The 25146-nt window shown below is 46.3% G+C and overlaps 1 protein-coding gene across 6 annotated transcripts, besides 3 other annotated features; it reads left to right on the top strand.

The window, feature by feature from the left end:
* Positions 2680 to 2729: an enhancer, noted in NCBI's record as "active region_16585". NCBI's record gives its function as "activates an Ori minimal core promoter by ATAC-STARR-seq in GM12878 lymphoblastoid cells {active_cell/tissue: GM12878}" and the evidence as "EXISTENCE:reporter gene assay evidence [ECO:0000049][PMID:35858748]".
* On the top strand, positions 21208 to 25008 carry CXCR4 (C-X-C motif chemokine receptor 4). Of its 6 annotated transcripts, none has more exons than NM_001348059.2 (3): positions 21208 to 21311; positions 22669 to 22767; positions 23445 to 25008. In NM_001348059.2, exons 1-3 carry the CDS (start codon positions 21297 to 21299, stop codon positions 24486 to 24488), a joined length of 1158 nt encoding a protein of 385 aa, NP_001334988.1. In that variant the 5' UTR covers positions 21208 to 21296; the 3' UTR covers positions 24489 to 25008. The 6 variants fall into 6 exon arrangements, with proteins under 6 accessions (NP_001334988.1, NP_001334985.1, NP_003458.1 ...); NM_001348056.2 differs by having other exon boundaries at positions 22669 to 22881; NM_003467.3 differs by lacking the exon at positions 22669 to 22767.
* Positions 22217 to 22286: an enhancer, noted in NCBI's record as "active region_16584". NCBI's record gives its function as "activates an Ori minimal core promoter by ATAC-STARR-seq in GM12878 lymphoblastoid cells {active_cell/tissue: GM12878}" and the evidence as "EXISTENCE:reporter gene assay evidence [ECO:0000049][PMID:35858748]".
* Positions 22417 to 22586: a silencer, noted in NCBI's record as "silent region_11985". NCBI's record gives its function as "represses an Ori minimal core promoter by ATAC-STARR-seq in GM12878 lymphoblastoid cells {active_cell/tissue: GM12878}" and the evidence as "EXISTENCE:reporter gene assay evidence [ECO:0000049][PMID:35858748]".

The following is a 25146-nucleotide window of genomic DNA, read 5'->3' as shown; positions in this document are numbered from 1 at the left end:
CCAGTGAGAAGAGGAGGAAGGCAATTAGTCTTGAGATGAAACTCAAGAGAATTTCCCAGCATGAAGGCAGCAAGCCAGGAGTGGCCATCAACCATTTTATCCTTTAAATGTATTTTTGACTTCCATTATTTTCAGCATACTAGGGTTTTCATCAGGATGTAACCCCCTTGTAAGTCAAGGAGCATCTATATATAAAATACTTCCATTAAGTGTCACCAAATTTGACTTGTCTCAAAAAATGTCCACCAATGAGAAGATTTTAAATAAAATCAAAAGCCTTCATGCTTATCTAAAAATGTTTTTAAGGAACCCTGACCGAATGTCTCAATTGAGCCAAATAGTTAATGATTAGGAGAGGGAAAATGAGGCACTTGTCAATATTAACCTATTGTGGATGCTTTCTGAAAACTTAAATGCCCTGAGTCCCTCAAAACAAAGACCCAAAGTAACTATGCACATTTCTCCATTAGTACACATACAATAACATTGTCAAAAAAATAGAGAGAAACTGGCCCAAAGAGTAAGGACAGACAGGAGGGAAGAAAAATGTTGGAAAAGCCTGGGCAGCACTGGGAGATACCATCTCTAAAAGAAAAATTTTTTTTTAATTAGCTAGGTGTGGTGGTGTGCACCTGTGGTGCCAGCTACTTGGAAGGCTGAGGTGGAAGGATCGCTTGGCCCAGGAGGTTGAGGCTGCAATGAGCTATGATTATGCCATGGCACTCCAGCCTGGGCAACAGAGCAAGACCCTGTCTCAAAAAAAAAAGAAAGAAAGAAAGAAAGAAAAATGCTGGAGGGGTTAAAAGTTCCAAGGATAGGTTTCTTTTAGTCCTTTATTGGAACAGGTAGAATTTTCACCTGTTACTGGAATCAGTATGACTTAAAATGCTCATCTGGTTAGTAATGTTCAAATCAGACCTGGGTCAAAATTGCCCTGTCCAACTTGCCTGGGGCTGAATTTGGTTAGTTCAGTTTACTGGGGGGCCATCTTCGTCGCACCTGGACATCATCCTTTGGAGCTTTTCTGTCACCCTGAGAGATAGGGGTTAGCCTAGGTTCCTTGAGCCTCAGCATTGCTTAGAGCCAAAGAGAAGAACTAGGAAGAAAGCCAAGATGCTGGGAATGGCCAAGTTAAGGACGAAGGTCATGGTCACAGAGCCAGAGCTGTGTGAGGTGGGAATGAGTCAGTCAAGAAGGTTGGGACAAAGAAGGGGGAAGCTGTGGGGGAGGTGAGACAGTTCCTAGAAGACTGTCTGAACTACCCACTGTTATCAGCATGAGGATGGCACCCTAGTCTTGCTGGTGAGTGGTGCTGGGACTTAGAATGCAGCAACCCAGAGCATGGCACTTGGGCACGCTGAGTACTTTGAACTAAAGGAGATTGGAAGACCTCAGAAGCAAAGTCTTTCTGACCTTCTTCTCCCCTCCTGTCTTCCACCTCTCTTCATTTCTCCCCCAAAGTGAGCCATACAAACTAGAATTCTCCTTCCCCACGGCAGATCATAGAAAATAGAACCCCTCTCCCTTAAAGCAAGCCATAAAACCAGAAAGGTCACTCTCTCCCTTCTCCTTTGAAGACCTTCATTCCGGAGGGTCCTGCCCCCATACCTGGGAGGAGGGAATGCTGCACAGAGAGGCCAAGAAGAATTTGAACAGACAGCCTCCCTGGATATCCCCCTCAGTCTATCACCATTACACCATACCCTTTCTCCAATCACATTTCTACCCGCTGTCCATTCTTCATTAAACCTAAGCATAAAAACAGCTTTCTCTGGGTCTTTGAGTCTTCATTTCTGAAGGCTTTTATGTCATATAAACTTTGATTAATACATTTGCTATGTTTTTCTCTTGTTAACCTGTCTTTTGTTATAGCAGTATTGGCTGTAACCCTTATGATGGGTAGGAAAGGGGTTACACCCTACCACCCCTACAGAGGTTATGCTGCTCATGACAGAATGCAACTCATCTAAAGCTTGAACTCAAAACTTGGCAACCTTAAGGCCTTTTTGTGGCAATGAGAGCATTTGAATGTGTTGCAATTCTCTTTTTTAGAAAGAAATGATAACCCTGGGCTTTAGTTTGCTATCTTCACTGATACACTTCAAAAGGTGGGAATTCCATGAAGGTGAGGATGAGAAGAAACAAGCAGCTTGCTTACCCCACTGTACTGCACCGCCCTATTTGTCATCAACCACCTGGTGGTGATCTCCTGCTGGGCAGTGGTTTCTGTCTCTCTGTCCTCAGGTGTGATTTGAAATGTCTCCCAGTGCCTGGCACTTGGTAGACAGTCAATAAAAGTGCTCAATTCAATGACTAAGTGGGGGAATGGTCATATGATTTGATCCTTTCAATCTGGAGAGTTTTCAGATGTGTTTGAAGCATTTGTCCCTAGAGTCAGTTATGTCCAGGAAGCTCCCTAAATGCTGCCTTAGGCTCAATTTGCCCCCTCTAGAATGAAAGCAGCTGTTTCTTTTCTGGAAACATACCAGGAAGTGTCTTAGGGGTACCCCATCTTCCCGCCTTTTTGCCTCTGTAACAGCCATCTCTCCTTACCTCAAAAAATATAGTATGTGTGTTTTCAAGCTGCAAAGAAACCGTTGAAAATTAAACCACAGAACAGCATTTTAATGAGAACAGATTACCTAACACCCCACTGTGGTTTCAGATGGCCTTGTGCCAACCTTCCAAACTGTTGCCAGAAGCCCAGAGTTACAAAAAAAAAAGGAGGGTGGGGAGTTGTGGGGAGAGGGGAAAAGAGTGACTAGCATCCCCTCAGTGAGGGTAGCTTTCTTAGATGGTTTCCAAAATGATCTCTCTAGAAGGTCATAGGTTATTGGTGCCTGCAGTTGAAGAAAAGTTTCTTCCTGTTTTGAAAAATTTAAGAGAGACAAAAAGGGGGAGGCACCCTTGAGTTAGTACATGATGTCCTGAACTAGGTGTTTTCAGCACCAAAGTTCTGCTGTAAGTGTCTGTACCCACTGTCTAGCTCATCAACTTGCCTTCTGCGCACATACTTGCTATTTCTGTAGCTAGGTTACAAGACCGCAGGTGTAGATGCTGCCGGGTGGAAGCTCTGCATGCCCACAGAGCAAAGCCCGAGCAAACACTGTTCCTCCCTGGCTGATAGCTTGCACTGGGGGCTCCTGGTAGTGGGCACAGAGGCGCTAAAGCTCACATGGGCTCATTCCTCAGGGACTTTCTTTCCTTAGTCTCCAACTAACCCAGCACTTAATGTATTCAGGGCTGCGGTTTCATTTCCACATTGGGTTTCCAGATTTAACCCCTGAACTAACTTCTGCAGTTGTCTTCCCACCAGTTCAACAACAACCAGATGGCCTGCAAGGCCACAGGAAAAAGTAGATGACAGAGCTGGAAGATGCTGGAGTGGAATACCTTCATTCCACTGATGAGGAAATCAGGTCAGGCCCAGAGGAAGTTTAGAGATTCACCCAAAATCACACACCCACTCAGCAGTGGAGACAAAAATACAACCACTATCCTGATTTCCAGCCTGTGGCACTGCCCTAACTGTATGGCTTCCCATTCCTTTCAGTAACACAGTAGCTTTTACCTCTTGCACACAAAGTGACAGACACACAATGGGCCCTCCTTAAATGCTACTTTCCTTCCTTGCAAACTATACCATACTGTGCTAAAACTTGAGAAGGATAAGTGGAAAAGTACCACACTCTCTGGCTCTCAAAGAGTTATAGCACCTTAAAGGTAACAAACAGCATGCCTACATTGAGCATAGAAACAACACAAGCTGATGCAAAACAGAGTGCCAGAAGATGCTTCATACCATGAGTGCAAGGAAAAGCAAAACACCTCACTTTACCCCCTTCACCTCATTAACTCCCATTTACTTGTTTTGTCTTAGTTTTGAGGTCATCTCTTTTGGAAAGCCTTCCACGTTTGGTTTAGGTTGAACTATAAGTGCAGGTGCACTTGTCTGGATCCTTGTGAGCTCCATGAGGACAGGTTCCTGGTCGGCCTTGTGCACTGCCTTTATCCCTATGTCTGGTGCCTGGGACAGAGTGCTCAGCAAGCATTTGGGGAAGTAAGGAACTGAATATCCATCAGGAAGCTTTTACCCAGGACATGGGATGGAAAATGGGCTCTAAGATGAAAAGGATTTCTATCAATGCAGAAGGTGGTGCAGAAATGAGTGGATAATAACTCCCATAGAAAAATCACTCCTGGCCCAGGCGTGGAGGCTCACGCCTGAAATCCCAGCACTTTGGGAGGCCGCCAAGGTGGGAGGATGGCTTGAGCCCAGGAGTTCGAGACACCCTGGGCAACATCTCGAGATCTTGTCTCCAAAAAAATAAAAGTTAGACGGGCATGGTGGCCTGTGTCTGTAGTCCTAACTACTCGAGAGACTAAGGTGGGAGGATCACTTGACTCAGGAGGCAGAGGCTGCAGTGAGCCATGATTATGCCTCTGCATTCCAGCCTAGACAACAGAGCAACACACTGTCTCAAAAAAGAAAAGAAAGGAAAGAAAAATCACTGCTGCAATCTGTGTGAAGTGAGGTCAGGGAGGAGACCACCATGGATATAGCAATGGCCTTTGATAAAAAGGAGCCGGAAGGTAATATTCGGTAAATCAAGTGAGGCCAAACTCTGGGAGGTCAGGAATGCTAAGAGGATGATGGCAACCAGAGGATGATGGTTTAAAAAAAAATTAGGAAAGAAAAATCCAAGCCACTAGAAAGCTGCACATAGCAAACCACTCAGCTCAGTGTTAGAATCTGACGTTGGTGAGTGTTTTCCTATCCTTGAAAAGAGTGCTTTCGGGCTTCCCTTTGGTAGCTGGGTCCCCCACCCCGCACCCCCACCCCCTCAACTTTGAAGTTTTGACTCTCTTTCTCAACACCTGAAAAGACAGGCTGAGTTTCACCTTGGGAAAATGCAAAATAGTCAGCTGCAGTGAAGAAAAAATGATTTGCAACCTCAGTCACAGATTTCTTTGAAACACTGTTGTAAAGGGAATTCTGAAAGGACCACTGACTCATTTCAGACAGTGAGCCAGGGTGAATGTTTAATGTGGTGAGTCGGTGACCGAGGAAACCACTTCTCTTTTGGAGCTGTTCATTCTGACTCTTCTTATCTGGGTGCCTTTACCAAACAAACAAGTATCATCTCTTACTTGGGGACACCTGGTTGGCATTTGCAAAAAGAAAGGAGTTCCAAGAAGAGCTAAAATTATCAACAGCAGAGACAGCTCAGTTTCTGCTATCTACGGGTTCACCCACAGGGATATCATAATCAAGAAGCAAAGTGATCGATTTGGGAAGTGAGGGGTGAAGGAACAAAGATTCATAAAGAACAATGGGATTGGAGGTATAAAATATACCCTGCTCCCCATACCCAAAATGGAAAGTGCCACTTGGTAGGTGGCCATGTGCTGCATAAAACATAGCAGACAGTTAATGTCAACTCAAACCATTCTAGCAAGACATTAACTTAGAGGAAACGCCAGGAAACTGAGAGGTTGGAAGAAAGAAGAGGTGTATTCCTATGGACAGCTAGCTGCGAGGTCATCCTAGTCTGTTGCTGGTACATTCTACTTCAACCTAGAGCTGACAGCGTAGAAAAGTATGACTCATCTCTAAATAAGATCCCTGGACAGACTCATGGAAGTTCTGCTGCTCCCCAGAGAAGATCACCTGGTGGTCATAGGTTTAAAGACCTTACGAGGCTGGCCCATGGGCCGAGATGCCATTGTGCAGGGCAGCAAGGCCCACTTAGGTAAGAATATACCACATGATTGGCCTCACTGTAGAGGCCATCCCTCGCTTGGAAGCCATCTGGAAGTAGATTTGAACTTCTAAGTGACATCTTAAACAGCCCAAGTCCCAGTGATCATTAAGATCCCTGTGACCAAAAGAAGAATCTCTCCTGATCACTTGTGCACTCCTCAGGGACCAGGCAGGAAACATGGGGGCTGGGCTGCTGCCTTGAAAGCAGCCTTTTGTTACCCCCTCACACTGGAGCAGCTGTAAGAAATGGGTGGCTGCTGGCTGAGTGCAGTGGCTCACACCTGCAATCACAGCACTTTGGGAGACTGAGGCAGGAGGATTGCTTGAGGCCAGGAGTTCAAGACCAGCCTGGGCAATAGAGTGAGACCCCATCTCTACAACAAAAATTAGCTGGGCATGGTGGCACACACCTGTAGTCCCACCTACTTAGGAGGATGAGACAGGAGGGTTGCTTGAGCCCAGGAGTTAAAGGCTGCAATAAGCCATACTCACACTACTGCACTCTAGCCTGGGTGACAGAGTAAGATCCAAGAAAAGAAAAGAAGACAAGAAAAGAAAAGAGAAAATAAAAGTGGCTGCCACCCCCCTGCTCACCATCAGCTTCTGGGGGAACCCAGTGAGGCACCCATCTGCTATGGGTATGAGAGAGAACATCAAGCATCTGGCTTTCCTGATCTTAATGTCTCTTCACATTAAGAATGAGGTGAGCTTCTGATTCTCTTGTCCTGCTCCTTCCACCATAGTCTCTATATGGGCTTTTATCTTCTAGAGAGGAGCACGCCCACCCCAGGACTGGTACCCAGCAGGTGTACCACCAATGTTGATGATACTGATGACTAGACTTGCAGCAGGAGGCAGGCACTATTATTATCTCCACTTCACAGATGAAGAAACTGAGGCCCTAATCCATCAAGTAACTTGCCAAAGCCCCTCTGCTAGTGAGCCCAGGTCTCTTAGGATGAAGGGAGGAACTGAGTGTGTCAGAAGCTCTTAAACAGCACTGCCCCCTCCCTGATTCCAGCAGTGTCAGTCTCCTGCCGCTGGGCTCCCACCTACTTGTGTTTGCAGTCTCACTTGTGGGTTCGAGGTCATAACTCTCTGTCGCTCCTCAAGTGCTCGTCACACCCACTGTTCCCTGGTTTCATTTGTACATTGGGGTTCCAACTGTCAGTCCCCAGCCGGCACACAGGTTTCACTTCCCTGAACCCTAATTCACTCATTTTTGAAATAGGGATCTATCTACCAGAGTGGGTGTGAGAAATAAGAAACGGGGTATAAATATAAAGCCTGCAGGAGCCCCACCATGACGCTGTTCACGCCTTAGTGAGCACTTCACAAACAAAAAGCACCGTGATGAGGTATTTGTGTCCTTTCATAACAATCTTCTCTCTCAACTCTGGCTGACATCAGAATCACCTCGAGCATTATTTGAAAAGGCGAATGCTCAAAGCCCCGCCCCAACCCTGCCAAATCAGAAACAACCAAGGTGGAGGTCCTGGAATCTGAATTTACTTTATAGTAAACAGCGCTACCTGTTAATGCAGGGATCAGGGCCAAGCTAACGTTCATCCCACAGGGAGGTTCTATAAGGGATTCCTGCCGAGAGTGGGAGGTAGGTTTAGAGGACCTGAAAGCTCCTCCACAAATAACAACCCCCTTATGTAGTTGGTTCTCGGTTGATAGCTCCCTGCTGCAAGCAGTGTGGTGATCAGTGTACAGAGAAATATTTTTTCCATCCTATTCCACACTGGTCGTGTCCCAAGCTCCACTCTCTGGCAGCCCAAGTAGGGGTAGATAGGCTCTGGGCACCAGACAAAAACTGTATTCCCTTTAGGGCTGCCTTTCCTCTGCGGAACATGAAGATCACTTTTAACAACCACAAAGTTTCATGAACCACCAGATGAAAGCCAATCGTGCTGGTAGTGTGGTAATGTCTGTTGACGAACAACATTCGTTTTTGGCTTTTTTTTTTCTTTTTTTTTTTTTTGAGACAGGGTCTTACTCTCTCACCCAGGCTGGAATGCAGTAGTGCAATCTTGATTCACTGCAACCTCCGTGTCCCAGGTTCAAGCGAATCTCGTGCCTCGGCCTACTGGGTAACTGGGATTACAGGCGCCTGCCACCACACCCAGCTATTTTTTGTATTTTTAGTAGAGATGGCGTTTCACCATGTTGGCCAGGCTGGTCTCAAACTCCTGACCTCAGGTGATCCACCCACCTCAGCCCCCCAGAGTGCTGGGATTACAAGCATGAGCCACCGTGCCCGGCCCAAACAACATTCTTAAACACACACACACACACACACACACACACACACACACACACACACACAAAACTCCTATGAATTCAAGACACTTCCAAACCAATTCCATATTTTATGAATCACAATAGCATCCACATGCATTTCAAAAATTGTAGCACATTATATATTCAATCTACAGGAAGATTTGGCACTTGGGGGTATTTAGACCCTTCACAATAACTTCCCTTGGGGTCCACTGCTCACAGATTGAGAACCAGCCTGCACCACCTGACAGAGTCAAAGGTCAGTGATGAGCTCACCTTACCCCCCACATTCCCCTTTCCAGTAAATCACCCAAAAACCCAACTGTGGAAGAGCATGTTTGAGATGAGCCACTGGTAAGTAACCGAAGGGCCAGAAACATAATCTGAGGCCAAGAAGGAAAGAGAAAATGGGTCTGAAAACAAACAAATGGATGAGAAGGAGAAAGCTGAGGTGTAAAGACCAGGCGGAAATCTATTTGGATAGCTCAGGTGGAAAGTTTTAAAAGTCTGGGCTAGCCACACAGTGGTGGGAATTGCAAGGCTGCTAATGGATAGAAGAGATCTTGGAGAACCAGCATATGATGACTCACTGATGTGAGAAAGAAGGAGGAGGTGAAGGAAGCCTGGAATTTCAGCTAAGATGTGAAGAATGGAGCCACACTCTGAGAACCTACATATAATAACAAGTTATATTTAGGGCCAGCTTGGAACTGCACTCTAAGAACCAAAGTTGGACACTCAAAAGTAGACCAGGACACTTGGCAAAGCAACAGTTATAAGGGACCAAAGGTCTGGAAGCAAAGGGTGCCTATTTTCCTTAAGAACGACTGTGATAAAATTTACAGATAAAGGCATAAGTCTAGAGCAAGTTATTTTCAATGTTCTGCTAAAAATTATATTTGCAGTTAAGGAGTCCTGAAATTATTTAAACTTCGGGTGCCTTGGTATGACATTCCAACAATGTGCCCAACCAGGAAGTGGGTGCTGTAGTGGTAATGTGGACTGCCGTAAAGCTCAGCTTCAGAGTCCATCTCTCCTGCAAAACTTTCCCAGGGCACATTGGGTTGGAACAACTTGTTTCTCATCTGAACTACTGAGCCCCAACCCTGCTCATTCTGATACTATTGGTCTGATGGGGGACACTATCAACTCCTTATTTTCTGTGTAATTCATCTTTAACCATAAAAGTTACACATGATTGTATTGGAACTATTATTACATCACAGATGTTGATTTGAACTCGTATTTAAGCTTCTTGTGACACTTGCTTCTTTCCTTCTGCCTTTCTTCCCATAGAAAAAAGTCCCCAGCACTAACTGATACCCACATACTGATTTCTTTGATCTAACAAATGTCCTTCCCCCTAAAATCCAGATTTGGCCTTACCCAGGTAGTAACCTTAGAAATGTAAGGAAAGGATCTCAAAGCCTGCATTTTTTTTTGTCTGCCAAGTTTTGCCACCTCCGATCGTTGTTGTTTGAGATGTGACAGGAGATGAAGTCACTTCGATGACATAAGTAACAGGATATCATTGTGCTACACAAAAGCCCACAAGTCAGATGCAGGTGGTGACTGAGAAACCAACATACAAACTTTGAAAAATACAAGGGTAAGCCTTCAGACTTTCTCTAAACAGCATCCCCTCCCCTCCGAAATAGTCTCTCCCCTTGACCTCCATTCTTCACATCTTAGCTGAAATTCCAGTCTCCCTTCATCTCTCCCTTCTTTCTCAGCCCCACATCAATAAGTCACCAGATGCTGGTTCTCCAAGATCTCTTCCACCCATTAGCAGCCTTGCAATTGCCACCATGTGTGGCTAGCCCAGACCTTTACAACCTTCCACCTGAGCTATCCAGATAGATTTCTGTCTGGTCTGTCCACCTTAGCTTTCTCGTTCCAATTCATTTGACACTACATTTATAGATTAATTATTCTAAAGCCAAGCTCTGAGCATATTATTCTCCAACCCCAAATCTTCATAGTTTTGCTGTTACTTGATAGAATAAAGTCCAGACCTCTTAGCCTTGTCTATAAAACCATCTATGCTCTGGCCTAATGTACCCCTGCAGACAGAACTCCAGCCTATATTCCAGTCAAACTAGCTGATCCCTGTTTGCAGCTCCAACGTTTCATTCATGCCTTCTCACTTGAGTCAGGCTTTCCTCCTTCCTGCTGAATACCTTCCAATCAATACCTACCCATTCTTCACATGCCTTTCCTATGTGAAAGGCCTCCTCTTTCCCTGCTGGGCCTTGTTTGTACTTCACTTGCACTGCCCATCCTGCTCTGGCTTTTATCACAGTTTTTTATGTCCCTATTTTATCTCCCATACTGGACTTAGGTGTCTTGAGGCTAAGGACTGTATGCTATTCATCTAGTGTCTCTCCCAGCACCTAGCAGAGCTCTGCACATTGTAGGCACTCAAAATAGTTTGTGGAAAGAAGGAAGGGAGGAAGAGGAGGAAAGATAGGAGGATGGAAGGAAGGGGGAGAATGAAGAGACCTCAGAAATAAAAGAGAAGGAAATCAAAAGGGGCAAGAGGGAGTAGGAAGAGAAGCCACTGTAGAAGAAAGCAGGTCATGAAGATACACGGAAAAAAATAAAATGCTATGGGATAGATCCCGGGCCATGTGAGAGTATGAGTACCAGATTTGCAAGGGAGAAGAACTGAGGAAACTTCCTGGCATCATGAGAACACTCAACACTAGCCTTGGTTTTCTTCAGTGGCAGACTCAGTCACCTTATCTCCCCCACCTTTCACAGCAGAGCTGGGGTCTTTAGGCTGAAAATTGGTTCCTGTGCTTTATGAAACCAGAATGGGTAGATGCTCAACTTCATCTTTTACTTAATCTAGATTTAATTAAAACATTTTATCTTTATGATAACTAACTCTCTTTTTTTTAAGACAGAGTCTCATTCTGCTCATTCCATTACCCAGGCTGGAGTGCAGTGTTACAATCTCGGCTCACTGCAACCTCTGCCTACTGAGTTCAAGCAATTCTTGTGCTTCAGCCTCCAGAGTAGCTGGAATTACAGGTGCATGCCACCATGCCTGTCTAATTTTTGTATTTTTGGTAGAGATGGGGTTTCCCCATGTTGGCCAGGCTGGTCTCAAACTCCTGACCTCAAGTGATCTGCCTGCCTTGGCCTCTCAAAGTGCTGGGATTACAGGTGTGAGCCACTGTGCCCAGCCCAACTTTTAATTAATGTCATTCTAGTTTACAAAATAGCCTTATAGATTACCCTAGACAGTTCTCACAGCATTCCTGCTACATACATAGTTAATGGGATTCCCTGATAGCTGCCTCAGAGCGTGTGGTGAGCTCCTCGTCTTACACTGCTGTCTCATTTGCTGCTCACTGACATCTCCATTACTCCCTTAACACCAAGTCGCGCTCAGAGAGACCCATCTACTCCAGTTTCCAGAGTACAGCCTGCTGCTTTACACGTCCAAGTCTTTGCCCAGATGGTTCCCTGGGTAGAATTTTTTTTTCGAGTCCTTCAACCTCTTCACCTCCAGAAGCCAGGTTTTCTGGGGAGAGAACCAGAGTAGCACCACCCAAGGGACTCTTTGGGGTACTCCCCTGGGTGGTGGGGGGGGGTCCATCACCAGGCAGCCTAAGCCTGGCATGCTGGGGCTGCCTCAGCTTCTATGGAAATTCTGGAAGATGACACAGGGGGACCAGGGAGATTACAGGGCCTGTGCTACTGCCTCGGGCCGGTGAAAAAACAGACGCATCTGCCCCCAGCGCACCCCACCCCAGCAACACACAGAAGGGAGAGCTTGCACAGTAAAACCCACTTCCCTCGTTAGCTTGCTCGCTAGGAGAAGCAGAGGAGAGCTGTTTATACTTACAACAAAGTGGGACAGCAGGAGGGTGGGAGAGAAACTTCAGACCTTGTACTGGCTGAGTTTTTCTTATTTCTGATTCTTAGGGATGCTTCACACTCCCCCATTTTCAGTTCTTTCTTCTGCAGAATTAATTCAAGACAGCCTGTTCTGTTCACAGGGGGCACAAAGGTATGGGCCCAGAGACTGCAGACAACAGGTCAGAAAACCACAGCATTCTAAGATTCTCTCTGACTGAAGGTGGGGATAAAACAGATTTTCAAGAAGAAAATGAAGCATACAGTTTGAAAAATACAGATCAAATAACATACTTTTTCACCTTTGGAAAACAACTTCATGTTTTCACAATACAAACTATTGAAAGTAAGTAGAGTTCAATAAACATCTCTTGATTGTTGGAGAATGGTCAGAAGAAATATCTTCTGTATATTTGTGCTTCCTAGAAAGAGTCTGATGAAGTCTCCTGGGACCTGCTAGAAAGCAGGATCAATTAAATGTTTAGGTTTAGCATAAACAGGCACAGGAGGTCTTTGTCTTCTGGGACCAGGGAGCCCCTCTCACTTTCGGGGCCAGTTGGGTGACCCGCAGCACCTGAACTCCTAGGTAGAAACCTAAAGAGAAATCCATGGCAGTGCCTGAGTAGAATTTCCTCTTTCTAGAATTGAGGGTGCAGAACAGCAGCAGGCAAATGACAGAGGAGAGAGAAGGCAAAACAAAAAATTCAGCAGCGCAAGAGAACTGGGCTTTCTAGGGTGGTTGGTTGTGATCTCATGTGTGCGTGCTCTTGTGTGCACACGTGTGTGAGAAAAGTTGGCAGAGGAGGCTTTGGTTGAAGGAGGGAGGGTGGTTCTTTTTTTAGCCTGGAAAATTGCCACACTGGGACAAAAACCTTAGCACAGCCCAGATGGGCGAAAGGCAATAGGAAAAAAAAAGCCCCCTCAGAAAGGTAACCAGCTGCCTGAACCCTAACCCTGAAGTGAAAATCTACCTGGCCAAGAACAAAAATCCTCTTCAGTCTGGAGAAGCCTAATCTAAACCTGCATGGGGGCGATGCTCGCCAGTGGAGCTAGAATGCCTGCCATTTATCACCCAAGATAAAACTCTCAGCAATCCCCTCATGCAAATGGAACCCTGTTTGCGGAAAGGATTAATCCAAATTGTTCCGCGTTGTTCAAAGTGTCTCTGTGGAGTTCGTTCTGTCTCGTCTGCCCCAAACAAGCAATAAATTATCCACACGTGAGCCAATTTCCCAACCAAAAAGAGACAATGTGGGCAGAAGCGGACTTTTGATGCCCACTCCCCGCAAGGGGCTGCCCCACCTGGGCTCAAAATAGCAAGCAGGTCACGGAGGGCAGCCCTGGGCACATAGGACAGGAGTAAACACAGCCAGGAGATTATGCTGCAGCTGGTTAACCACAAGGATAAACAAGCGGACAAAGTAGGGAGAAACCCAAAGCACTCCACTTCAGTATTTTTAAATGACACTGAAAGCAATTTCATGGCTTCCATTTAAAAAGAAGCTGCTGAGACACAGAACATCCCCAATTTACAAAGATTCCAGGAAACAGCCTGAGCTTGTGATTGGAGGGGGTTACGGGGGTGAACAGACTACATGGAAATGCTTTCTCCAGGCAGCCACTGGCACCTGTTAAAAAGAAGCCCATTCAGACACACATCTTCAGACACATTTCCAAGTATTCATTTTAACCTGCTTTTGCCTAACATAAAACCAAGCAAAGATGTGGTTAATTGCCTTCTTTATTAACCTGCTTCCAGAGCTGCTGTTACCCCACATTTTCTCACCAAGGCAAGTATATCTGGAAGTCTCAGGAGGCCTTAAAAAAGTCCAGCACTAAATCTTCTGAGTCACTTAATCCCCAGCTCTTCTATGTTTGGAGATAATTTCCTTTATGAAAAGAAACTCTAACCTGGCCAGATACCCTTCTCAGACTTGCTAATGGAACAAAGAAGCCTCTCATTAGACTCATCCCTGTGGCTGCAGAAATAAGTGTCTCGGAAAGCACAGCTTTTGCTTTAGCCTCAGGATGGTTTTGGCTGCCGCGGTCCTTGGCTTCCTCTCATGGCGTCTCCTCCAGTCAAGCTCTAGCTAAGTTACACTTAGAGGCTAGAAAACAGGAGAGACAGGTGCCTAGCCAAAAAAAAAAAAAAGGAAGAAAAAAAAAGGACCGTCTAGTGATCAGGTTTGCCCGGCAGTGGGATCTGCTCCTTTCCAAAGGGTGGGCTGCCCATCCCAGGAGTGTCCAGAGACAGGACCACCTGCTGAAAAGGAGCTCCTTCCAATGCATGGAACATAATGAGACCAAATGGCATTAAGGACCCCTTTCAACCCCGAATCTGAGACTGCAAAGACAGGAAGGGCTTTCAAGGCACGTATGAGAAATTCTTTATGTCTTCTCTTTCCTTCCCTCATTGCATAGATCTCTCTTCTGACCACAATTAAAAGTAAGAACACTTCACACTTTATTTAAGACTCCACTTCCCTTTACCTCATTTCAGTGGGTAATGGTGGAGAAAGCCATTTGTCTGGTTAAGCAAAGCCCTTGACCAACAAGAAAGACATTTCAGCAGCAGAGATAGGAACCTATATTAGTAATAGGTTATGTTTATTAAGCACTTACTAAGTGCCCCACACTGTACTAAAGTCTTTACATAGATATCATATTAATCTTCCCAATAATCCAAAAAGTAGAATGTTATTGTTAGCCGGATATTAAAACAAATGATATTACAACAAAGGCCACTGTGTGAGCAGACTCCAGTGCTGTGCTCTGAACCACAAAGCTACTCTGTCTGGCTTGCAATCCTCCTTTCTGCTGTTGTTCCCACTGTTTAAAGAGCAGAAGGAAGAATGTTCTTCTCCCTGAAGGACGTTGTCCTATAATAACTGAAAGAAAAGACAGGCCCAGTGCTCATGCATCAAGACAGTGAAGAAGGCATAGGGCCTGGGGATGGGAAAAGGGTTGAGGAATGTAAGGATCACACAAAGCTTGTCAATTCTCTTCAGGGTCCCTGACATTAACCTGAGTGCGGTTAGGTGCCGCAAGGGAGGACTGACCTGGAAATCCCAAGTAACTAATTTCAGTCTCAGAGAGACAAATTATGACATAGAGACCACCCCAAAAGGATTCTGCAGCCAGTTTTTGTCCATGTGTGTCTGTTCCATCCTCCCAAGTCTCCTGACTGCCTAACCCTATCCTTTCTTTTTTTTCTTTTTTTCTTTGTTGAAACAGAGTGACACTCTGGCATGCAGGCTGCAGTGCAGAGATGCGATCTCGACTCACTGCAGCCTCTGCCTCCCAACCTCAAGTGATCTCCTTGCCTCAGCCTCCTGAGTAGCTGGGACTACAGCCACCACACTTGGCTAATTTTTTTGTACTTTTTTGGTAGAGACAGGGTTTCACCATGTTGCCCATGCTGGTCTCAAACTCCTGAGCTCAAGTGATCTGATTGGCCTTCCTCAGCCTCCCAAAGTGCTGGGATTACAGGTGTGAACCACAATACCTAGTCTCATACTTTCTTTTGATGGCTATCATCAACACCTTAGGTCAGTGTAAACTGGAAGACTGGAAGCTAGTAGAGTTTTTGTGTTTGTTTGTTTTGAACCAACATTTTTAAGTTGAGAGATTTCTTATTAAAAAATCAGGACTTTCACTTTCTCTTTAAAAAAAGTTGAATAGGCTGGGCGCAGTGGCTCACACCTGTAATCCCAGCACTTTGGGAGGTCGAGATGGGCGGATTACAAGGTCAGGAGATCGAGACCATCCTGGCTAACACAGTGAAACCCCGTCTCTACTAAAAATACAAAAAGAATTAGCTGGGCGTGGTGGTGGGTGCCTGTAGTCCCAGCTACACAGGAGGCTGAGGCAGGAGAATGGGGTGGACCCAGGAGGCGGAGCTTGCAATGAGCCGAGATTGTGCCACTGCACTCCAGCCTGGGCAACAGAGCAAGACTCCGTCTCAAAAAAAAAAAAAAACAAAAAAAGTGAATAATATGGCCCAAATTCCCTCAAAGGGCAATGGAGGGTAGTGGTTGCTGCTTTAGGACAGGGCATGCACCCTTTGGTTCTCCACAGTCCCCACCAGTCCCTATTGCCTCACTCATTTACAATACCTGCAGGTTTTTAGATGTTGTCACTGGTGTCTTAGACCTACAAGTAGCTCTAAGATCATTCCCAAGTTATTTTTTTTTAAGGAGACTATTTCTCAAGGGGCATGTAATTCTAACAGAAGGTTACAAATCTCAAAGACACAGCTTTGATAGCTGACAGATAGCTTTAGATTTAGAAAACTCAAGCAAAACATTGTATGGATTCCCCTACACACACACATACACACACACGCACACACACACACACAAGTAATTCCCACCCTGTTCTTTTGCTAATATAATATTCTTGGAAGAATGACCTCAGAAATATCTCAAAGCCCATCTGTATGGGCGATCAGATCACCACATTTCTGGGAGCACCAAGGCTCTGCCATGGGATGCCCAGTTCTCTTTATAAAACTTGACAGTCCACAGGGCTCTAGGCGCTTCCTCTTTTTATATAGCTGTCTGAGGTCACCACCAATAAATTACTGGTTTAAGGAAAACAATGACAAGCCTATTCCATGGAGGACAGGGTTCACTCACTCAATTATTTCCTAAAGCAGTACCCTCCTTCCCAGTTTGACACCATGATTTTTGAGGCAATAGCACCGAGCCTGTTTGCTGCTGTTCTTTACACCCATAAAGCCACACAAGCACCTGCCACAGGAGCACAGCAAACTTTGTGAACAGTCATCCTCCTGGCAGTGGAACTAGTAGAGTAATGATCATTGCACTGTTAATTAAGTGGCTGTTTTGTTTAAATGACTTACCAGGATGGCTCTAAATTGCCTATATTTGTTTACTAGTCTAGTTTATTCTCTTTGTATAGGAAATTTGTTGACTAGTCTTGACTGCTATAAAGCATTGATGGAAATCACTAATCATCCCATTTTAGTGAAGGCAGACCTTTTCAACATTCAAGATACAACTTAAATCTAGAGTAAAAATGGCTCTCCCCCAAAAAACAGTAATAATTTCCTAAATTGGTAAAGAACTGTAGGATGGAAGGTTTGGGTTTGTTTTCAAAGTCACTTTTCATCTGTAGGTGTTGGAGACAGAAGGATTTAGGGAAGGAGGAGAGGGCGGGGTGTGGTTAGGCAAGGGACAATTTGTTCCACCTAACACCAGCTTGGAAATAGTTGACATTTGATACCATTGTCTCTTTGAGATTTGTAACCCTGTGTTAGAATTACTTGCGCCTTGAGAAATAGTCTCCGTTTTTGTTTTTTTTTTTTAATCACTTAGGAAAACATTAACTTTCTCTAAGTATCCCTTACTACTGTCAAGGAAGTTTGCACTTTTTTCCTCTTTCAGAAACAAAAGCGATCAATTTTTTTAGAGACAGGAGAGGGGCCAGCGAAGGAACCAGAAGACCCTGTGTATTCTGAAGGCCTTTAATGCCTCCTGCCATCCACCTCCTCCTGGCACCTCCTCCTTTCTCTAACCTCCTGCCATCCACCACTGGGAAAAGGTCTGTTCCTAAGCTTTCTGCCTAGCTAACATGAAGCCAATTTAGGGACAGAGTACAGCTTTTCATCACACACACACAGATACACACACTCACACACAAATCAACCAGCTGCAGAGCGAGCAACAGGAGGTGGCAGGATGCTTGCCACTGTGTCACTGGATTTGTAAGCATCCCCTCCAAACTGTGGCCAAGGCTAGTTATTCCCTGGGCTAAAGCCAACCTGAGAAGTTGGGGACCCTGCCAAATCCCTGACAGCCCCTAAGCCTGACTCTGTTGCCAGAGCCACACAGGAAAGTCATTCATTCTTTTAAGAAAGGTTCAGTAAAAGATTAAGGAGCCCAGTATTTGTTCAGCAATGGGCTAGCTGGATAGAGGATATCTGGGCATTCACTTTAAGGAACCTAAAATATTGGAGGGATAGGAGTATGACATATACTCATTTAAAAGTTGAGTAACATCACAAGGGATGCCACTCAAAGCAGTATGTACGTAAATGCCAAATGACCTGGGCTTCAGAGCCAGACAGACTGGGTGCAGATCCTCATTCCGGGGTCACAGGCCAGTTCCTCATCTTTCCAGACCCTAATTTCTTTACCATGTAATAAAAGTAATGGCACCTGCCTTGTAGAGTTATTGAGGGGATTATATGAGGTCAGTTGCACATAACAAGCGCTCAGTAAATGCTTGAGTTTTGTTTGTTTTTTAAAGAACATCATAGAATAGTTGAGAATAAGGTTTAGGTAGCCCAGTGGAAATAGAAGTTTAAGATTAGCCCATTGGAAAACAAGCCTTCCTTGAAAGGGGAAAGGACTATTGTGAAAAAAGTCTGACATCTTAGTAGATACTTTAGAAGTGGAAACATACATGAAGGAGGCCTTCTGATTCCCTTTTTGTCATACAATTTGTTGGCTTTTTTATGAATATGAAAATGATTCATGTCTATTACAGAAAATCTGGAAAGCATAGAAAAACCCCAGGAAGAAAGCAAAAATCAAATATAATTCTGCACCAAGGAAAACGCCTATAAACATTTTGGTTTTCCTCCCTATATTTTCCAAATGCATATTTTAACATAACTGAGATCACACTATATACACAATTCTGAATCCTGCCTTTTGCACTTAATGTTTCATAAGTATTTCCCCATGTCACTAAAAATTCTTCACAAATAACATTCGCGATGTCCATATGGAATTTCAGATGTGGATGAACCAAAATCTTGTCAACTATTCCACTAACAGTGGTTATTTAGGGATGTTCAGACATTTCACTATTTAAAAAAAAATGTTTCCACAAATACCTTTGTGGCATAAGTTTTTATGAGTGGAGTTACTGTTCTGAAGTTCCTGCTGAATAGAAAATGCTTTCCAGTGAGGCTGTCCCAAGCCACATTCCCATCAGTGACAAGCGAGAGACAGCTGGTCTTTTCAAATCCGGAGACCAAATATTATCTTTGAAAAAAAATGGATTTTTGCCTAATTTGGTAGTCACCAAATAGCATCTCATTGTTCTTTTAATTATCTGCTTCCTTTTAGTAGAGATCCCTAAAAAGATCTGAAAGGAGTCTTCAGATAAAGGAAGGAGCTTTCTTTTGTCTGTCTACAATCAACAAATATTTATTATGCAAACCATTTTGCTCCGAGTTTTCTCCTCTTTCCCTTTTTGGACAGATTTGGGAGATCTCACCTTTCAGGTTTTAGACATCGTGCAGGGAGGAGTTTTGAGGTAGGGTGCAGCTTACGGTCCAGGATAAAACATACTGATTCTGCCACTACCAGGCTTTGTGAAAAGCAAGTCATGAAAACGCTCTGAAATTCTAGACCTTCAGTAGATAGGATCTACCGTGTCTATAAAAATATGAAGATCCTTAAGTTTTATTAAAGATTCGAAAAAAGTAAAAGTGTTTTTACGGTTTTATTTTCATTTTTATTTCTTACCGTTATCGTTTATTATAAAGGATATTATAAAGGATACAGATGAAGAGATACGTAATGCAAGGCCTGTGAGAAGGGGCGTGGAGCTTCCGAAACCTCTTCCAGCCACCACCCTCCAAGAACCTGGAGTTTCTTTTTTTTTTTTTAATTCTACAAATGTAATATTAGAATTGATTTTATCTGGCCATTAGTGTGTGTCCTAACTCGTTCGTTTCTGAGAGTCCCATCTCCCGGCCCGGATATCATCTTTCCTGTGTCAGTGAAAGTGCAGAGTAGATGAGAACCTTTAACCACCAACATTAGGGAGGGGTCCCAGACAAAGGGGGAAAGTCATGCTCTGTAGAGAAAAGGTTCCCTGCCTCCGAACTACCTCTGGAACACTCCAGACTGAAATGTTTCCTCTTTTGATATAGAAAAGAGGGATCGTGTGTAGAGTGCAGTCTGGGCAATCCCTCTCCTCGGGACCATTTCGGGGTGGGGGCCTCTGGGGTCCGTGTCGCGACGCACGCGCCTCGGTCCCAGCTATCTCCGCAGCGGCCACCCCGCCTGCGGACGCAGTTTCTCGGCCCCGCCCCACACTCGCTCCCCCGCCCCACCCAGTCTCCGCGCCGGAGGGAAGTGGCGCGAGGGGGAAAGCACTGTCTGCGCGCCCACTGCAAACCTCAGCCAGTCTGAGATCGCTTTAAACGTCTGACCCCCACCCCCACTCCGCCCCGCCCAGTTCTTCAACCTAATTTCTGATTCGTGCCAAAGCTTGTCCTCTGCTCAAAATCGTGGAAGACGCCGAGTATGGGGACCGAAGACCTGGGTTCAAGCCCGGCTTGGAATCCCTGCCCATCCCTGGCATTTCATCTCTCCGGGCTTATTTGCTGGTTTCTCCGAATGCGGGCCTTGTCTGGTTCACGCTGGATCCCCAACGCCTAGAACAGTGCGTGGCACGCAGTTCGTCCTTCTATAAATATCGGACTAAATGCATCTCTGTGATGGTAATACCCACACGGTGTTGTGAGAATGAATGAGTGATTCTGTGCAAGTTCCTAGTGATCTGTTACAAAAAGTACTGGTCGCTAAATTACTCTTATAATAAAGCATACTTTTAGGATAATAAAGCACTATTCGCGAATTGGTTACCGCTATTATGAAATTACTGAGCAATACATATCTACATCTGATCAGTCTCCAGAATTATGCCAAATCCTACCTTCTTCTGAAAGTATCTCCTAATTATCTGCACCTGACCCTAGTGATGCTGTGAATGTGCAAGTATAGCTACATCCTCCGAAGGAAGGATCTTTACTCCTTTTACCTCCTGAATGGGCTGCGTCTGCTGAAAGCGCGGGGAATGGCGTTGGAAGCTTGGCCCTACTTCCAGCATTGCCGCCTACTGGTTGGGTTACTCCAGCAAGTCACTCCCCTTCCCTGGGCCTCAGTGTCTCTACTGTAGCATTCCCAGGTCTGGAATTCCATCCACTTTAGCAAGGATGGACGCGCCACAGAGAGACGCGTTCCTAGCCCGCGCTTCCCACCTGTCTTCAGGCGCATCCCGCTTCCCTCAAACTTAGGAAATGCCTCTGGGAGGTCCTGTCCGGCTCCGGACTCACTACCGACCACCCGCAAACAGCAGGGTCCCCTGGGCTTCCCAAGCCGCGCACCTCTCCGCCCCGCCCCTGCGCCCTCCTTCCTCGCGTCTGCCCCTCTCCCCCACCCCGCCTTCTCCCTCCCCGCCCCAGCGGCGCATGCGCCGCGCTCGGAGCGTGTTTTTATAAAAGTCCGGCCGCGGCCAGAAACTTCAGTTTGTTGGCTGCGGCAGCAGGTAGCAAAGTGACGCCGAGGGCCTGAGTGCTCCAGTAGCCACCGCATCTGGAGAACCAGCGGTTACCATGGAGGGGATCAGTGTAAGTCCAGTTTCAACCTGCTTTGTCATAAATGTACAAACGTTTGAACTTAGAGCGCAGCCCCTCTCCGAGCGGGCAGAAGCGGCCAGGACATTGGAGGTACCCGTACTCCAAAAAAGGGTCACCGAAAGGAGTTTTCTTGACCATGCCTATATAGTGCGGGTGGGTGGGGGGGGAGCAGGATTGGAATCTTTTTCTCTGTGAGTCGAGGAGAAACGACTGGAAAGAGCGTTCCAGTGGCTGCATGTGTCTCCCCCTTGAGTCCCGCCGCGCGCGGCGGCTTGCACGCTGTTTGCAAACGTAAGAACATTCTGTGCACAAGTGCAGAGAAGGCGTGCGCGCTGCCTCGGGACTCAGACCACCGGTCTCTTCCTTGGGGAAGCGGGGATGTCTTGGAGCGAGTTACATTGTCTGAATTTAGAGGCGGAGGGCGGCGTGCCTGGGCTGAGTTCCCAGGAGGAGATTGCGCCCGCTTTAACTTCGGGGTTAAGCGCCTGGTGACTGTTCTTGACACTGGGTGCGTGTTTGTTAAACTCTGTGCGGCCGACGGAGCTGTGCCAGTCTCCCAGCACAGTAGGCAGAGGGCGGGAGAGGCGGGTGGACCCACCGCGCCGATCCTCTGAGGGGATCGAGTGGTGGCAGCAGCTAGGAGTTGATCCGCCCGCGCGCTTTGGGTTTGAGGGGGAAAACCTTCCCGCCGTCCGAAGCGCGCCTCTTCCCCACGGCCGCGAGTGGGTCCTGCAGTTCGAGAGTTTGGGGTCGTGCAGAGGTCAGCGGAGTGGTTTGACCTCCCCTTTGACACCGCGCAGCTGCCAGCCCTGAGATTTGCGCTCCGGGGATAGGAGCGGGTACGGGGTGAGGGGCGGGGGCGGTTAAGACCGCACCTGGGCTGCCAGGTCGCCGCCGCGAAGACTGGCAGGTGCAAGTGGGGAAACCGTTTGGCTCTCTCCGAGTCCAGTTGTGATGTTTAACCGTCGGTGGTTTCCAGAAACCTTTTGAAACCCTCTTGCTAGGGAGTTTTTGGTTTCCTGCAGCGGCGCGCAATTCAAAGACGCTCGCGGCGGAGCCGCCCAGTCGCTCCCCAGCACCCTGTGGGACAGAGCCTGGCGTGTCGCCCAGCGGAGCCCCTGCAGCGCTGCTTGCGGGCGGTTGGCGTGGGTGTAGTGGGCAGCCGCGGCGGCCCGGGGCTGGACGACCCGGCCCCCCGCGTGCCCACCGCCTGGAGGCTTCCAGCTGCCCACCTCCGGCCGGGTTAACTGGATCAGTGGCGGGGTAATGGGAAGCCACCCGGGAGAGTGAGGAAATGAAACTTGGGGCGAGGACCACGGGTGCAGACCCCGTTACCTTCTCCACCCAGGAAAATGCCCCGCTCCCTAACGTCCCAAACGCGCCAAGTGATAAACACGAGGATGGCAAGAGACCCACACACCGGAGGAGCGCCCGCTTGGGGGAGGAGGTGCCGTTTGTTCATTTTCTGACACTCCCGCCCAATATACCCCAAGCACCGAAGGGCCTTCGTTTTAAGACCGCATTCTCTTTACCCACTACAAGTTGCTTGAAGCCCAGAATGGTTTGTATTTAGGCAGGCGTGGGAAAATTAAGTTTTTGCGCTTTAGGAGAATGAGTCTTTGCAACGCCCCCGCCCTCCCCCCGTGATCCTCCCTTCTCCCCTCTTCCCTCCCTGGGCGAAAAACTTCTTACAAAAAGTTAATCACTGCCCCTCCTAGCAGCACCCACCCCACCCCCCACGCCGCCTGGGAGTGGCCTCTTTGTGTGTATTTTTTTTTTCCTCCTAAGGAAGGTTTTTTTTCTTCCCTCTAGTGGGCGGGGCAGAGGAGTTAGCCAAGATGTGACTTTGAAACCCTCAGCGTCTCAGTGCCCTTTTGTTCTAAACAAAGAATTTTGTAATTGGTTCTACCAAAGAAGGATATAATGAAGTCACTATGGGAAAAGATGGGGAGGAGAGTTGTAGGATTCTACATTAATTCTCTTGTGCCCTTAGCCCACTACTTCAGAATTTCCTGAAGAAAGCAAGCCTGAATTGGTTTTTTAAATTGCTTTAAAAATTTTTTTTAACTGGGTTAATGCTTGCTGAATTGGAAGTGAATGTCCATTCCTTTGCCTCTTTTGCAGATATACACTTCAGATAACTACACCGAGGAAATGGGCTCAGGGGACTATGACTCCATGAAGGAACCCTGTTTCCGTGAAGAAAATGCTAATTTCAATAAAATCTTCCTGCCCACCATCTACTCCATCATCTTCTTAACTGGCATTGTGGGCAATGGATTGGTCATCCTGGTCATGGGTTACCAGAAGAAACTGAGAAGCATGACGGACAAGTACAGGCTGCACCTGTCAGTGGCCGACCTCCTCTTTGTCATCACGCTTCCCTTCTGGGCAGTTGATGCCGTGGCAAACTGGTACTTTGGGAACTTCCTATGCAAGGCAGTCCATGTCATCTACACAGTCAACCTCTACAGCAGTGTCCTCATCCTGGCCTTCATCAGTCTGGACCGCTACCTGGCCATCGTCCACGCCACCAACAGTCAGAGGCCAAGGAAGCTGTTGGCTGAAAAGGTGGTCTATGTTGGCGTCTGGATCCCTGCCCTCCTGCTGACTATTCCCGACTTCATCTTTGCCAACGTCAGTGAGGCAGATGACAGATATATCTGTGACCGCTTCTACCCCAATGACTTGTGGGTGGTTGTGTTCCAGTTTCAGCACATCATGGTTGGCCTTATCCTGCCTGGTATTGTCATCCTGTCCTGCTATTGCATTATCATCTCCAAGCTGTCACACTCCAAGGGCCACCAGAAGCGCAAGGCCCTCAAGACCACAGTCATCCTCATCCTGGCTTTCTTCGCCTGTTGGCTGCCTTACTACATTGGGATCAGCATCGACTCCTTCATCCTCCTGGAAATCATCAAGCAAGGGTGTGAGTTTGAGAACACTGTGCACAAGTGGATTTCCATCACCGAGGCCCTAGCTTTCTTCCACTGTTGTCTGAACCCCATCCTCTATGCTTTCCTTGGAGCCAAATTTAAAACCTCTGCCCAGCACGCACTCACCTCTGTGAGCAGAGGGTCCAGCCTCAAGATCCTCTCCAAAGGAAAGCGAGGTGGACATTCATCTGTTTCCACTGAGTCTGAGTCTTCAAGTTTTCACTCCAGCTAACACAGATGTAAAAGACTTTTTTTTATACGATAAATAACTTTTTTTTAAGTTACACATTTTTCAGATATAAAAGACTGACCAATATTGTACAGTTTTTATTGCTTGTTGGATTTTTGTCTTGTGTTTCTTTAGTTTTTGTGAAGTTTAATTGACTTATTTATATAAATTTTTTTTGTTTCATATTGATGTGTGTCTAGGCAGGACCTGTGGCCAAGTTCTTAGTTGCTGTATGTCTCGTGGTAGGACTGTAGAAAAGGGAACTGAACATTCCAGAGCGTGTAGTGAATCACGTAAAGCTAGAAATGATCCCCAGCTGTTTATGCATAGATAATCTCTCCATTCCCGTGGAACGTTTTTCCTGTTCTTAAGACGTGATTTTGCTGTAGAAGATGGCACTTATAACCAAAGCCCAAAGTGGTATAGAAATGCTGGTTTTTCAGTTTTCAGGAGTGGGTTGATTTCAGCACCTACAGTGTACAGTCTTGTATTAAGTTGTTAATAAAAGTACATGTTAAACTTACTTAGTGTTATGTTCTGATTTCTGTTGACATTCTTTTGGCTAGTAGAAGACAAAAGTAATACATTTATGGTATGCAAAGCACTATCCTAGGTATTTCATTGTAATATTTTACTTACCCCTTATCACAACTCTGATAGA

This window comes from Homo sapiens, chromosome 2 (genome assembly GCF_000001405.40).
Source record: "Homo sapiens chromosome 2, GRCh38.p14 Primary Assembly".
Taxonomy (NCBI): domain Eukaryota; kingdom Metazoa; phylum Chordata; class Mammalia; order Primates; family Hominidae; genus Homo; species Homo sapiens.
The sequence above is the reverse complement of the archived record's forward strand: the minus strand, read 5'-3'. Positions and strand labels throughout refer to the sequence as shown.

What these genes read in the sequence shown, in the direction of transcription:
- CXCR4 (XM_047445802.1), top strand. Translation starts at nt 22,615, where the DNA reads ATGAAACTTGGGGCGAGGACCACGGGTGCAGACCCCGTTACCTTCTCC. An exon ending in GTTGCTTGAAGCCCAGAATG is followed by an intron (nt 22,882 to 23,444) that starts GTTTGTATTTAG and finishes CCTCTTTTGCAG; the next exon opens with ATATACACTTCAGATAACTA.